The sequence below is a fragment of the Homo sapiens genome, chromosome 20, assembly GCF_000001405.40.
Source record: "Homo sapiens chromosome 20, GRCh38.p14 Primary Assembly".
Classification (NCBI taxonomy): Eukaryota; Metazoa; Chordata; class Mammalia; order Primates; family Hominidae; genus Homo; species Homo sapiens.
The window spans coordinates 34043979-34060629 of record NC_000020.11 but is presented as its reverse complement, the minus strand read 5'-3'; the positions used below and the strand labels follow the sequence as shown (position 1 = coordinate 34060629).

The following is a 16651-nucleotide window of genomic DNA, read 5'->3' as shown; positions in this document are numbered from 1 at the left end:
TCTGTTACTGAACTGGCTGACATGACCTTTTGGGAAGTGTCTATCTTACCTGTAAGATGGAAATAGCAATACATATCTCTAGGGTTGTTAGAGGATAAAATAATTCATGTAAGCATTCAGAATAGTGTCCAGCACATCAGAAAGCATGCGAATATATTAGCTCCTGCTGCTACAGGTTAAGTATTCCTTATCCAAATGCTTGGGACAAGAAGCATTTCAGATTATAGATTTTGGAATATCTGCAGATACTTAACTGGCTGAGCATCCCTAATCTGAAATGCTCCAATGAGCGTTTCCTTTGAATGTGATGTTGGCACTCAGAAAGTTTCCAATTTTGGAGAATTTTGGATTTTCAACTTACGGATGCTCAACCTCAATTATTATTGTTGTTGTTGGAACCTGCAATAACTTTTCCATGTGAGTATAAAAGAGAAGGTGGTCAGTTCTAATGGAATATTAACCTAGAGCTGAACTGTGATCAAGGAAAAAAATACTATCACGGTGGATGCGATAAAGTCTCTTCAAGTGTCTCACCAAAACTCTAGTATTTGGAAATGTGCCTTGAACATAAAAGGAAAGACAAGAGTAGGTACTTATTAAGTGCTGAATGAATAAATAAATGAGCATATGGAACAATGCAGCTGCCAGAGCTCATAAGGAATACAACTTGAGAAATTAGGTGGAAGAGGACGCTAAGCAAAGGTTCCCACCAAGGCCTCCTTGTGCTTTGAGGACCCTCTAGAGCAGATTGGGCTCCCCTGCTGGGCAACAGGGCCCCAAGGGCTGATATTTCAAGAAGCCCTCAGTTGCTCACTATTTGGTATCTCTGATGGAACTCCTACATTCTGTGGCTGAGTAAGGGTGCAGAAGGCTGTGCCGTGGTAGTGCATCCTGTTCTCATCTCCCAACCTGTATGACAGGGAGGCTTAACTCCTACCACAACAGGCATAGCTCTAAGTTAAAATAGTAATGGGGGCTTATTAGCTTTGGATTTCTCCTTGCCTGTAGAGCGCTGGGGCCTGAATCCCGTGTCTACTAGCTGTATGACCTGGAAAGGCACTTGACTTTTCTGAGGTTCACAGTTCCCCACCTGTAAAATGGGGATAAAAATCCCTGTAACACAGGTTGTTGTGAGGGTCAAAGGAGATAACATGCTCTGTTACCTGACATGTGCCACGTAAGCATAGACAGGAATACTCCCAGGATGGACAGCTGCTGCAGGTCTTCCTAGACAGAGGCACCCAAGCAGGAAGCCAGCAGGCTGGAAGCAAGGGCTGGATGGTGCACAATTCAGCACTCCAGCCAAGTACTGTGTCCCTCAGGTATCAGGGCAGTTGATTAAAATCCTTTCATGCAGAATCAGTATTTTCCTCATTACAACAATCCTTCTCCTTGAACACACTGAGTGGCACCCCTCACAGCCCCAAAGGCTTGACCCTATAAGACAGCATATGCATCAACATATATCTTAAATTTCCCACATTCAGACAGGGGAAGGAAGGAACGGGTGACCTCTCTCCAGGGTGCTGATCCAAACATAACTTAGGGCTCTAAGCATCATCTCCCACAGTGTCACATGTTTGGTCTACAGGGGACCACTGAGAATGATGCCACAGTTGTAGCCACTCTGCCTTTGTCTCCCTGGTAACAACATTAACTCCACAAACATTACTAAGCATCTGCTTCCTGTGTGATCAATCAAGTGTGCCCCTGCCACCTCCTGTTTAAAATCCTTCAAGGGCTTCCCACCATAAAGAATCAAGTTCAAATCCTTTAATGTGGCTTACAAGACTCTTCATGAGTTAAGGCTACCAAATCTATACACAACAATCCTCTGAGTGGTTATATGTCATTCACTTTATAAATGAGTAAACCCTAGTGGGTTTAAATCCAGGATCAGCACTTACTAGTTGTGTGACCTTGGACATCTCATTAAACTCATTGAGCCAATGTTCTCTATTAGGCAAACCCTAGTGCAGAGAGTAAACCCTAGCGCAGAGAACATGCCTAAGGTCAGAGAGTGAACATGTCAATGTGAAATGGGTTCTTCCGAAGGGATGAGTATCATACTCCAAAGGATAGACTCAAGTTCAAAATCACCTTTTCTTGGATTAGTCATTGAGAAGTATGGGGATAGGGCATTGTATGGTTCAGGTGAACCGTTCCTTTCAGAGAGCAGCTTAGACACTGTCCCTTGTTTGAAGCTGCCACCCTGACCCCTCTCTCACTCCCACAGCAGCAGCATCATTAATAAACTTGGTGTAATGAACAAAATGTTCATTAGCATGTAATACGGTATACATATGCACGCTTATGTCCAAGATGCCCTGCTACCATAAGCTAAGCATCAAACGAAAGCCAACCAATGAACCCCTGCAACTTCACAAAAAACAGCCCTCAAAACGACAGGTATAACACACCCAATGCCTAGTGAACTTCTAAACTCATCAATTCAACTGATCATGACAGAAGCAGCTTTGGTATCTATGGTCTTTCCCCCTTGTCATTGTCTTAGAAAGAATTAACCCTTCCCGGCCCCCTTCCCCTCAAAAAGGAGGCACTACACTAAACAAGCTTCTACACTGCAACTGGTTAAAAGAAAAAAAAAAAGTTTCTCCAAAACTGTAATAGGTGTCTCAGCTGCAGGAGAAAGGGCATGGCTTTGGACAGAGACAGAACAAGGTTTAAATCCAGGATCAGCCACTTACTAGCTGTGTGACCTTGGACATCTCATTAAACTCCATGAACCAATGTTCTCTATTAGGCATATACATTTCCCCCACATACTGTTATTCACCACGCCCTCCTCATTTGGCCTCAATATTTTTAGAATGTAGCCCCCCTCTCTCCATTCTTATTACCATTCTTTAAATAATCCTCTACTGTCACCACAGCAATATTACCATATCATTTCTTTGTTTAAAATGGGTAAGATCAGAGGTTGTTTTTTTTTTTTTTTTTTTGAGACGGAGTCTCGCTCTGTCGCCCAGGCTGGAGTGCAGTGGCGCCATCTCGGCTCACTGTAAGCTCCGCCTCCCAGGTTCATGCCATTCTCCTGCCTCAGCCTCCAGAGTAGCTGGGACTACAGGCGCCCGCCACCATGCCCAGCTAATTTTTTGTATTTTCAGTAGAGACAGGGTTTCACCGTGTTAGCCAGGATGGTCTCGATCTCCTGACCTCGTGATCCGCCCGCCTCAGCCTCCCAAAGTGCTGGGATTACAGGCGTGAGCCACCACACCTGGCTGGTTTATTATTTTAAAATTCTTAACCAATAATTTGGGTAAGAATTTGTGCTATTATATTGAGTATGTTTATTATATGAAATTACCATATGAAATCATCTAACCCCCACCCCTCTATGGGACATAACTGTTAGCATGTTCATGTATTTCCTTCCAGTGTTTTTCTTGCACATTATGTTTGGATTACATGGTTAGATAACTCAACTCTGTAGCCTAATTTTTTCAATTAGCATTATAACACATTTATTATATATATTATAGCATATTTGTCCTTACTGCCGCATAGTTTTCGGTAAGCATCATTTTTTACACTACTGCTTTAAAAGCTCGTGGTTTTCCCTGAGTAGATTTATCATAGTTTAGATTGGTGGTCTTTTAGGCTTTTTCCAATTTCTCACTATTATAAACAATAGCATCTGAGGGAAAGCTTATTGTATAAACTAGACTATTTCCTTAGGACAGACTCCCAGAAGTGGAATGACTGGTCAAATATATGAACATTTTATTGGCTCTGGCAACACATTGCTTAACTGCTTTCCAAAAGAGTTACACCAATTTACACTGTTATCTCCAATGAATGCCACTTTCATGGCAACCTCGCAGCACCATGTATTACCATATTGGGCAGGTGGTGGGGTAGGGAGAGTAGAGGTGAATTAGTAGGGAAAATCAAATCCTCATTACTGTTTTCATGTACATGTGAAGATGTATAGTCTACTGTGTTTACTAGCTTTTGAGTCTACAAAGTTTTGAGTGCCATGAAGTTACTGTAGGTTCCTAGGTAGAGGAATAACATGCTAAAAAGATTTACTCATTTATCAAAAAATCATTTATTGTTCACCTATTACTGCCAGACACTGTATAAAACTACAGAGGTTAATAAAGTACAATCTCCCCCCTGGAAGAATTTATAGTCCAGTCAGTGGTGAAAACCTCAAGAAAACCAGAACCTATGTTTCATCTTGATGAGGTCTATGACAGGAGCAACTAGGAACTTGGAGGCATGTCAATTACCTAAGGGACAGAAAGAAAGGGAGACGACTCAGACAAGAAGAGTCAACAGTAAGTTCCAATCTTGTCCTGAAGGATGAGTTGAAGTTAACCCACACACAGGTAAGAGAGTACATTTAAGAGGAAATAGCATAAGGAAAGTTACAGAAGTTTGACAGAGATCCCACATTTAATGAATAATATGATGTATTGTGGTTTGCCCAGAGTCTAGGATGTAACAAGAAATGATGCCGATGATACTAGAGTGCCTAGCCGAGATCAGATCAGAAAGGGCTTTGTGGACACTGAAGAGTGAGCCATCACCCGTTCTGATGTTGTACGCAGCCCAGTGCTCAGTAAGGAGGCACTTGTAAGTCCCTATAGCTTCTGAGCATCTGAACCACCAATCCAACCCCTGAGCAGAGCATCCCATCTTGTGCCAAACCCTTTTTGTCTCATGTATTAGTCTCCTCTCCTCAAGCAACATAGAGATTTTTGGGCACATTGCTAGACATGTGATGGAAGCACCAATAGTGCCCATGGATCCATTAACTGGAGGTAATATATGCAATAAGACATACTGCTACTTTCTACATTAATAACAGTGACTTTAATGATGTCAAAGATATTAACAAGTTTATTATTTTAACAATCAATATAATAGCAAGGCATTCTTGCCCTGCTAGTTGTGGTATGAGCCGTTGGGCAGTGGGGTCTGATGTGCTGGCTAAGATCCACCTGAGGAGATTGTATTAAAATACTCTGTTTCAGTGTCATCTCTCCTCCCAGACTGACTGTGAATTCCTGGACAGCAGGGACCACAATCTATTTCATCTTGGCATCCCCACTGGCATCAGAACAGGCTCTAGCCCAGAGTGGGTGCTTAGGGAGTATCTGCTGAATTGAACTCCAGCAGAGCCACATACCACAGCCCCCATGCCCCACCCCTGCTTCCTTCCTTATCTATGCTGTTTAAGATACAAAGCGGCAGGCTGCACAGATGCTAAAGCCAGGAAAAGTTGGAGAGAGACAGGAAGGCAGTATCTTTGCAACAGCCCAATCCACCCCAGCATTTAGGAAAGAATGTAATATAAATGATCATTATATTAATTGCTTATTACATGGAAGATACATTGCTAAGTATTTAAATTCTCATCCTTACAACTCTTTGAGGTAAGAATTATATCAAGGTCACAATGGCTCTTTTTGGGGTTGTTTTAGGAAAATGACTCTGGAATCAGACTACCTGGGGTTCAAATCCCAGCTCTGCTATACGTTGGCTGTATGATCCTGGGTAAATGATTTAACCTCTCTGTGCCTGGTTTTCTCATTTGTAAAAATGGGAATAATATTACAGTACTTTCTCCATAAGGCTGTTGTGAGAATTCAATGAGATAATGTTAAGATAATGCAAGTTAAGTGCTCAGGAATTTTCTAAATGAAAATGGTATTACTATTGCCCCCATTTAACAGATAGCTCAAAATATCATACTCAACATTGAGTAAGGTTAAGAGGGAGACCGCTTCATCAATAAAGTACAACTGGAACCAATTTCTTTCTTTCTTTCTTTTTTTTTTTTTTGAGACAGTCTCATTCTGTCACCCAGGCTGGAGTGTGACCTCAGCTCACTGCAACCTCCACCTCCCAGGTTCAAGCGATTCTTGTGCCTCAGCCCCCCAAGTAGCTGGGATGCCAGGCATACACCATCACGCCTGGCTAATTTTTGTATTTTTAGTAGAGACAAAGTTTCACCACATTGGTCAGGCTGGTCTCGAACGCCTGACCTCAAGTGATCCACCTGCCTCAGCCTCCCGAAGTGCTGGGATTACAGGCTTGAGCCACCATGCCCAGCCTGCAACCAATTTCTGATCTGGCAGTGGTGGCTGGGGCCAGGAGTTTTCTGAGTACAAACCCACTGATGTGACGTCCCTGTAGAAAACTCTTCGGGAAAGCTTTTGTATCCCACCCCGTAGGCAGATCCAGCCACTCACTCCTCTGGACCCAGATACTCTCTGCTGACCTCTACTGCAACATCTGCTGCACTTTTGTATTTACACATCTGTCTCCCTCCATTAAATTCTGAACTCCTTGAAGGCAGAGACTATTTTATTAATCTTTGCAATCCCAGCCTCCAGCACTATACTAGCAACCAGTGAAATTTCTGCTAGTGAACAGGTGAAAGAATCCTAGGTGGGCGTTTTTCAGTAAATGGTTTCCCAAGGTACATGATACAACAACTCCTTAACAGTGAACCGTGTAGCTGATGTTTGTGAGATGAGCTCAAATTCCTCATCCATCAGCAGAATAGAAGGAGATGTAAGACACTGATGAGAAAGAAAATAAAGGAGAAGGCAGAGTGAGAAGCTGGGGGTCACTGGCATCATTGTTCAGTATACTACAGGGAGCAAAGGCAACAAAAGCTTGAGTCTGCAGCCCAGAGACTACTGAATCTGGGCTTTCTGTAGTGGGTAGTATGTATAAGGACAGCAGCAAAGGCCAGAAAATGCCATCCTTGTCAGCAATATCAATAGTGACAGAGATTCAGCCCTCCCTCTCTTTATTATCTGGTCACCCTGAGATGAAGCCCAACCACTGGCCCCACCAAGCTATCTTAATGGAAAGAATACTGGGCAAAGAGTTAGGAGACCATAAGTTAATCCCTGAGAATGTACTAAAATTTTCAATTAATAAATATTTCTTGGCTAGGCATGGTGGCTCACGCCTGTAATCCTAATACTTTGGGAGGCCAAAGCAGGAGGACTGCTTGAGCTCAGGAGTTCAAGACCAGTCTGGGCAATATAGTGGGAGCCTGTCTCTAAAAACAATTAAAAATTAGCCGGGCATGGTGGTACATGTTTATAGTCCCAGTTACTTGGGAGGCTGAGGTGGGAGGACTGCTTGAGCCCAGAAGGTTGGACCTGCAGTGAGCCATGACTGTGCCATTGCACTATAGCCTGGGTGACACAGCGAGGCCTTGTCTCAAAAAAAAAAAAAAAAAAAAAAAAAAAAAAAATTATTGAACATCTACTAAATGTTGGCCTTGCACTAGGCACTTGTGAAAAGGGTCTATCACTAATTTGCCGTCAAACCCTGGACAAGTCACCATCTCTTTTCTGAACCTTAACGTCCTCATATGATACATGGAAAAGAACCTCTATGTCACGGGATTGTGTTGTGATCAGATGTGCTTTGAACAATCTACCATATAAACTTGCAAATTTAAAGGTGATATTTTTGGGCTGGATGTGGTGGCTCACACCTGTAATCCCAGCACTTTGGGAGGCCGAGGCAGGCGGATCACCTGAGGTCAGGAGTTCGAGATCAGCCTGGCCAACAGAGTGAAAAAAAAAAAAAGTTTCTTTTTAAACTTGATTTGATCTTAACTAGAGGGCTTAGTAAAATGCAAGGATAGCCCCACTAAATGCCAAAGCCAACTTCCTCTGCCACTGTCTGGATAGAAATCCAGCAGAACATTCCTACCCCCTCAATTTTGTGATGGAGACGGTGACAGAGGAGCAGAAACTTACACATTCTCTTCAAACCCCTCTCAGGATCTTTTTTATATTACTGGTGTCAGAGCTTAGTTCTTAGTAGGAGCTGGACTGTGGGGACTGTGGGCCTACTGGATGAGTCCCCCAGATATAACTCAAATTTCTTACAGCAGGAAGAACAGAGTTCGACTTTGCACGGTAAGGGCACCTTTCCAGTTACTGAGATAATTACTTGACCCCTGGTCCTTCAACTGTTTGGAAACATCTGATGGCCATTAAGCCTGTTGTTTCCTCATTTTCCTGCCTACTGGGATAAACACATCAAAACAGAAAGCTTGATGCTCTAACAATGCTCTCTGATTAGTGGTTTGCAGGATCCTCTGTAATTTTAGGATTTGCTGGCTAGAAAAGGAACAATAGTGGAGTACAAATTATGGTGTGGCCTAGGAAAAAGTTAGGCACCCTGAGATTTAGACTTGGTTCTGCCATGGGCTGTAGACCTTGGTTAGAGACCTTAAGCTTCCCTCATCTTAAAAATTAAAGAACTGGACTGAGTCAGTTACATGAAATCTTCCACGGAAAACCAGGGTTCCTCAAGATGTTAATGAGAGTTCCTCAAAAAAGGGGCTCCAAGGTTAAATAAGAAGAGGAAATTTGGCATATTGCACTCTCAACTCGTTCCCAAGAGACACACACAATAAGGGTCTGCAAAGGCAGCGGTAAAGAAATTTACTTATTAGCATTATTCAATCTGATGTTTCCCAAATTATTAACATCTCTTCTGAGGAAGACACAATTTGAGGAAGACACACTGGGACAGATCTCTAGGGTCCCTGTCAGCTCTAACCTACTGTGATTTGCATCAGGAGTACTTAGCCAGTGCCTGGAGCACCCTGCTTCCCTTCTTATCCAGTTCTCTTAACCTAGTGAGGCATTTAAATGATACTCTGGTTAATGAGAATTTATTATATGTAGTCCATTTTACTGTAGTGAAAGTATCAGGCTGGGCGCAGTGGCTCACGCCTGTAATCCCAGCACTTTGGGAGGCCAAGGCACCTGGATCACGAGGTCAGGAGATGGAGACCATCCTGGCAAACACGGTGAAAACCCGTCTCTACTAAACAACAACAACAACAAAAAAAATTAGCCAGGTGTGGTGGCAGGCGCCTGTAGCCCCAGCTACTGGGGAGGCTGAGGCAGGAGAATGGCATGAACCCAGGGGGCGGAGCTTGCAGTGAGCGGAGATCACGCCACTGCACTCCAGCCTGGGCAACAGAGCGAGACTCTGTCTCAAAAACAAAAAAAAAGTATCAAATTTCAAAGACTCAGAGTGCAATATACTGAAAACGCTATCCTATGAGATAGGATACCTGCAGTTACTAAGCTCCTAACACATGTTCTGTACTGTGCTAGCATTTTCCATTAATTATATCATTAAATCCATACACAACCATAAGGAGTAGACATTGTTATCCTCGTATTACAGAGAAGGAAACTGAGCTCAGAGAGGCCAAGTAACTTGCCAAAGGTCACACAACTAGAAAGTGGCGAGCACCAGATTTCAAACCCAGGAGTACTCATTTTCCAAATCTTGGTTCTGTTTTGGGCTCTGCCACCATGACTATCAGATGGTCCCTAACTCTCTTTAAAGCTTCCTGGGCCTTAGTTTCCTCAACTGTCAAGTGGGAATAGTAATCCTTACACTGCTTCCCTCACAGAGTTGCTCTAAGGTTCAAAAGCAGTAACACGTATGAAAGGGGTCTGTAATATATAAAGATGTGAATATTAGGGGCATTTGAAACATCATGAATAAACGTTGCTATTTCTGTTCATGAATTTTAAGCTGTTTGTTCTTGCAAGGTTCCCAGTCATCCCTTCCCAAATAGTGCTCCTTAAAATTTTCATCAGGATTTTGAATAAACAGGAAATATGTCCATTTCTCTCAGTATTGATTACTCTCTAGGCTGTCTGACAGACTCACACTAAATTGCCAATCTGCTTCTTAGGAGTCAGGAGTGAAAACATCAGAGTGGGTGAGAGCCTGGTGGGAGGCCTGTGAGCTGGGAGTTATCTGAATAGAGATAGCATACTGGCTGTGGGGCTAGACTCCTCACCATCATCTTGGAACATGGCTGGGAAATAGGTCCAAAGGGTCATTTGGACAGCAGATCCCAGCAGCCTCTGTATGAGATCTGTCCAGGAGACTAACCCCATTATATGGGATGGCAAGAGGGGGAGGTGACTGGAAATGAGAAATGGGACCAGGCTGACCAGCTACACTCTCAGATAGAGACTACCCTGACAAGGGCCTAGGCACAGACACAGAAGTAGTTGGGTGCAGGGCTCTCAATTCATCCTTCAACCCTGCCTGATATCACATCCTCATAACCCACATTGCTGTGGCCATCTGCTCCCTCTAGTTTCTGGCAGATTAAGGCCAAAAACAACAGCAAAGCATTTTTGGATCAAGGTCCTGCCTGGGGACAGAGAAGTAAATAATACAAGTCCCTGTTCTTAAGTAAGGCACTAGACCAAGACGGTTTGAGCCTAACTAGAGGCTCTCTTGCATAGCAAAGTCTCTGGCACATGGGTTATATTCAAGAATTGTTTGAACCGAACTGAATCAAAGGAACCTACATTCTGCAAGTTAAGAGCACCTGTTTGGTGTCAGGAGCCCAAGACTTCTAGATTCAATCCTGGTTCTGACATGTACAATTCAGGGACTCTGGACCTCAGTTTGCCCATCTGTAAAGTGCACTTTGTCTACCCCACAAGTTGCTATGAGTAGCCAATGAAGTAGTGGCTCAGTAAATGGCACTCTGTAAATGGCATGAGATGGAACAGCAGGAGCTGATGGGAGCACGGGCGCACATGATCTTAAAAGTTTAGAGTCCAGCCTGAAGAAGACCTGAAATAAGCTCCTTTCTTTCTCCCCAGTCAGCTTAGATCTGCTTTTCAAACACAGCAGACATTCTCTGCATTTCTGGTGACTGTGAAAAGGGGAAGGGGATAATTTGCCACTAAGTAGGGGATAGAAAGAAAGGTTGCCATCTTTATACTTTTCAAAATAAGAGCACGGGATTTGGATTTATAATCCTAACTTTTGTTAATCAAAAGCTGTGAAACTATGAACAAGCCTCAACCTCTCTCAGTTTCCTCATCTGTACATTGTGGGGAAATTTCCTAAGTCATAAGATTGCAGTTAAGGTTCAATGAATTAATGATGTCAAAAGTGTTTTGAAATCCACAAAATGCCAAACAAACGCCAATCATTACAAAGTTGTCTGTCTTCTCATCAGTTTACCAGCTACATAGGACAGTGGTTATTTACCATTTGACAGGTGAGATCATCAAAGCCCAGAGAAAGTGCTTAAAGTAACACACAGCTCAATTCTGACTTCTTACAGCAGAGGTAACTGTTCCTTTACTACAGGGGTTCTTAATTAGCCTGCTTGCCTCATTAAACTGACAGATCTCTGAGGGAGGGGACTACATACATCTTACACATTTTTGTACCCCAGTGCCCATCATGGCACACCTAAAAGATGTGAAGTGTTACTAGAATGATGACTAACATATTGGTAGCAGAAACATATCTAGAACTCAGGACTCCTAATCCCAGATCCAGGGTTCTTTACAACCATACAGTGGCCCAAACCTCATAGACTCGGCTTGCCTTAACATCTCATCTCTTCCTCAATTCTCCACTCTAGCAAGATTCAACTTTCCCTTCAGAGCCTGGCTTTCATAGATGCCAAAGCCAGGCTCTGAAGGGAAAGCTGAATCTGGCTTTCATAGATGCCAGTTCCTCAGCCATAACCTTCCTCATCTCTCCTTGCTGAGCTAATTCCTATCCATCTCTCAGACTTGGAGGCCTTTCTAATCTCTCCTAATACTGGGTCAGGTATTTACTTTCCTCCATGGCTGTTTTGTTTATCACAGAGTCCTGGCACACAGAATGTGTTAAAAGTATCTGTTGAAGGCTGAATGAATGAAACACTGGGTGTAGAAATCCAAAGGTGATGCAGAGAAAATTTTTTTTTTTTTTTTTTGAGACGGAGTCTCGCTGTCTCCCAGGCTAGAGTGCAGTGGTGCGATCTCGGCTCACTGCAAGCTCTGCCTCCAGGGTTCACGCCATTCTCCTGCCTCAGCTTCCCGAGTAGCTGGGACTACAGGCGCCCGCCACCACGCCCGGCTAATTTTTTGTATTTTTAGTGGAGATGGAGTTTCACCGTGTTAGCCAGGATGGTCTTGATCTCCTGACCTCGTGATCCACCTGCCTCAGCCTCCCAAAGTGCTGGGATTACAGGCGTGAGCCACCACGCCCGGCCGCAGAGAAAATATTCTTGACCTGGAAGTCATGCAGCCTGACTGATTCTAATTCTAACTCCACTACTAATGCGTTTCGTGATCTTGAGCAAGTCCCAGTTCTTCTTTGGACCATCTATAAATGAGTTACACAGTATGATCTCAGAAGGTCCCTCCATTGTTAAAAGCATATGAGACTTAGACTCATGTGAAGTCCTAGGGATGAGGAGATTCCAAAGCCAGCTATATGCTCCATAGCATAGGAGACCCAACACTCTCATCCCCCCAGGAGCACGAGAGACACACGACTCTGCTGTCAGGAGCCTCCCAGCCCATTGGTTTACTTAATTCCTCTTGATGAAGTGCCAAGAATAAATCGTAGGTGAGCAGCAGAGCATTTTAACGAGTCCAGAGCCTAATGAATCTTTTCCTTCCTGTGTCAATTAGAATTTCAAAGCTAGGATCCCCAAGGACCAATTTATTGGGAACAGAGAGAAGAAGCCTTTTGTTCATCAGCAGCTGCCTGAGCTACCTGCTCTGCTCCTGTATCTCTGCTGTGTAACAATCCTGCTTACTCAGATATAACATCTGGCACAATAAAGCCTGGCCTGGAGGCTCCTTCTTGCCCAACATTTCTGGGGTCTGAACTTGAGGAAGGAAACAAGGGTCCAGGGTATTTCTGAGGGCAAAGGTGGGGTTGGGGGTTGGTCAGGGAATCAGAGCAGTGCTGACGTTGCTGCTATCTCCTAGGGATACTGGCCTTCAAAGAGCTAACAGCCACAGATCACCAGGCTACTCACCCAACTAAGTATCTGGTACTGTGTGGCACCTATTTACCTGTTATTTTAAATCCTCACAACCTCAAAAGCAGATATCAACCACATCATTTTAGAGAAAAGGAAAAAGAGGATCTGAGAGCTAAAGGATCAGCCTAAGGAACACAATTATTACAGTAAATGGCAGAGAAGGATTTGAACTCAGGTCTGTGCGACTCCGAAGACTAAAGCTCTATCAAACCAATACAACTCTGCCAGGAGCTGATGTCTTGAATGGCAGAGATGGCCCATGGTCAGCCATAGACACATTAGGCATTTGCCACCAACACACTGTCTTTTGCCCGGGCACATGCAAGAGTGGCTGCGCATCACCAGTCCTTCCATTCAATGGAGCTGGCAATCCTCCATCCCTAGAAGATAATCCAAGCAGAGTCACCATCAACACTGCCCCCTGCTCCTACCCCAGAAACCTTTTATTTGTGAGGAATTTCCAATTCTTGATCTAATGGCTCCCATGCACCCAGTTCTCCACCTCCCATACTGTCCGCTCTAAGTCACACAGGGCCAGCCCAGGTACTACTGCTCTGTATTCAACAAAGACACATTTTCCAAGGTCAGCAGATTAGCAAGTCAGGTTTCCAAATGTAACTAGTGTTGAATTTTAGGGCTCTAGTGTGAAAAACACATTAAGAATAGAGGTCAAGGCCAGGCATGGTGGCTCACACCTGTAATCCCCCCACTTTGGGAGGCCGAGGTGGGAGGATCACCTGAGGTCAGTAGTTCGAAACCAGCCTGACCAACATGGAGAAACCCCATCTCTACTAAAAATACAAAATTAGTCAGGCATGGTGGCACATGCCTATAATCCCAGCTACTCAGGAGGCTGAGGCAGGAGAATTGCTTCAACCCAAGAGGTGGAGGCTGCAGTGAGCCGAGGTCACACCATTGCACTCCAGCCTGGGCAACAAGAGCGAAACTCCATCTCAAAAAAAAAAAAAAAAAAAAAAAGAGTGGAGGTCCAGTGACTTGTCCAAGTTTACACAGCTAGAAAATCACAGAGCAACAACTGGAACACAGGTATATACTGAATCCTAACCTGGCCTCTATCTACACACAACAAGAATAACAAATATATAAAAAATGAGATCAGTGCTTTTTAAAAATTAACTTTTTATTTGGAGACAACTATGGAATCACTTGCAGTGGTAAGTCCTTTTAAAAGCACTGGACACTTAGCAAAGTGCCGGTCACACAGAAACCCTCCCAAGAAATGTTACCTATTAAGTATTACGAAAAAGGCAAAGGGCATTCAGAAGGCACCTTTGAGGAGGAGTGAATAAGAGTTTCTCTTTACCCAATGCTTAAAGTATGTACACATACAATACCTTAAATAATCCTTCCAATGACCCCATGAAGCAGGTGTTAATAGCCTCATTTACAAACAGGAAAACCACTCCCAGAAGTCAAGTTACTTGTCTAAGATTTCTTTGGTCCCAGCATGTGCCAAAGCTGGGATTCAAATCCAACTATATCCAACTCCAAACTTTATCCTCTTTCCACATTGCTTCTTTGGAGATAAGACTGGGGCTGGGCTTCAAAGACAAGCCTCCTGGATACAGACCTGTGGTTAAGAGCAGGCTGCCAGTTCAGGTGTGGAAATAATAGCATGAGCAAGGATGCAGAGTTAGCAACATGTCTTTGCAGAGGGTAGTAGTTCAAAGACACCGGCCTGAATCAAACAGTAAATTCACATGACAAAGACCAAACAAAAAGCTAAAGTGAGGGCAGGTGGCATGGGGTCCTGGAATGCTGCTAGCTGCTTGTGTCAATTACATGGGTCACAACTTGATTCCCTTCCGCTGGAAACTGTAAGAAAAGGGGAACGGCACACAGAAAATGAAGAGCCAGACACCAGACGGCAAGAGAACTGGGGAAAAGAAATCAAGTTTTACTCCTAACTAGGTAAGTAGCCTTGAGCAGGCCAATTTCCCTCTGTGGATTTCTAATACCAGGGATTTAACTAAAAGATGTCCAAGGACCACTCTAGCCATGACCTTCCAGAAATCACTCTATTACCAAATCATGTGAGCAAATGTAGGTCTGAGAAATGGGAGAGAGCTACATGAGGGAGAAGAAAATGAAGGTATTAAATGGGATTCAAGTTAATATTGGCCAAAAGACAGAAGATGGCAGAGAGCAAAGGAAGGGAGCCTGAACCAGAACGTTCCCAATCCTGGCCTGGCTCATAACTTGCTGTGTGATCCTGGCTACATGCCAACTTCATTTCCTCATCAGCCCAATGGACCTCGGGGCCCTATGTTCTGGCCTCAGCTGCCCACTCTCCAACCTTATCTCCTGCCTCTTTCCTCTTTACTGCTGCTACTCCAGCCACACTGGCTGCCTTCTAATTATTCTACAAACATGCTCTTGCATCAGGGCCTTTTCACCTGCCCTTCTCTCAGCTGGTAATGATCTTCCTCCTTAGAGAGGTCTACTCTGGCCACTTTTTAACATTTTACTCCTGCTTATCTTTCTTCATAATGCATATAGAATTACATAATTGATTTACTAATTTTTTCATTGTTTTCCCCATTAAAATAAGTTCTACGCTGGGCACAGTGGCTCATACCTGTAATCCCAACATTTTGGGAGGCCTCCGAGGCAGGAGGATCGCTTAAGCCCAAGATGTTGAGACCATCCTAGGCAACGTAGGGAGACCCTGGCTCTACAAAAAAAAATTTTTAATTAGCTAGGTGTGGTGGTGCATGCCTGTAGTCCCAGCTACTCAGGAGGCTGAGGTGGGAGGATTGCTTAAGCTCAGGTCAAGGCTGCAGTGAGCCACGATCATGCCACTGCACTCCAGCCTGGGTGACAGAGTGAAACCCTGTCTCAATAAATAAATAAATAACAAGTTCCATGAAGGCAGTCCTTGTTTTGTTCATTACTGTATCCCAGTTCTATGGGCAGTATCAGACATCTGTTGAATGGATAACTGAATGTATGTAAGTATAAACACTGTCCCTAAGGTCCCTTCCAATGCTGGCTTTCTGTGACTAACTTACGGGCTTGTGGAACTGGGGAACATCTCAGGAGCTCCAAGCCTAGGTAAGCTTAGGTCCAATCTGTCCTTCTGGCTTCAATTTTTGATATTTGCTTGGCCTCAATGGTTCTTCAAATGTTAACACACGTCAGGTGTGGTGGCTCACGCCTGTAATCCCAGCTTCGGGAGGCCGAGGCAGGCGGATCACCTGAGGTCGGCCGATCACCTAAAGTGAGGAGTTCAAGACCAGCCTGACCAACATGGAGAAACTCCGCCTCTACCAAAAATACGAAATTAGCCGGGTGTGGTGGTGCATGCCTGTAATCCCAGCTACTAGGGAGGCTGAGGCAGAAGAATCACTTGAACCTAGGAGGTTGCAGTGAGCCAAAATCACGCCATTGCCATTCCGGTCTGGGCAATAAGAGAAAAACCCCATCTCGGAAAAAAAAAAAAAGTAACGCACATACCAACACACAGCTACATACTCGTACAAATAGACAAATATATATCACCTAATTAATCAATTATTGTTGCATGCTATGTGTAAAACACAGTACATACACAATAGCCTCCAATATTATGTCCTTCAGAGTTTGACCCTAACTTACTTTGGTAACTTTAACCCTAACCACAGTCCTATTCCTGAACTCTTATACTCTGGCTACAATGGACTGTTTTCCCTTCTCTGAAACACCCACATAAGCTTCTGTGCCTCTGTCCTCACTGGTCTTTCTGCTTGGAAGTTACAGTCTCCCCTTCATAATTACCAAATGCCTCATCTTTGAAGTCCAACTCAAATATTA

General features: G+C 43.9%; 1 protein-coding gene and 1 non-coding gene across 9 annotated transcripts in view, besides 1 other annotated feature; both read right to left on the bottom strand.

Annotated features, from left to right (window-relative positions):
- The window catches only part of RALY (RALY heterogeneous nuclear ribonucleoprotein), a 90974-nt gene that overhangs the window by 24255 nt on the left and 50068 nt on the right, over positions 1–16651 (bottom strand). The gene's annotated exons all lie outside the window — the stretch shown is intronic.
- MIR4755 (microRNA 4755) lies at positions 11440–11511 on the bottom strand. The gene has a single exon (NR_039911.1). It is a non-coding gene; the product is annotated as a microRNA 4755 (primary transcript).
- Positions 14012–14820: an enhancer, noted in NCBI's record as "OCT4-NANOG hESC enhancer chr20:32633616-32634424 (GRCh37/hg19 assembly coordinates)". NCBI's record gives its function as "activates a minimal SCP1, AML or CMV promoter by ChIP-STARR-seq in primed H9 embryonic stem cells {active_cell/tissue: H9 hESC(primed)}" and the evidence as "EXISTENCE:reporter gene assay evidence [ECO:0000049][PMID:30033119]".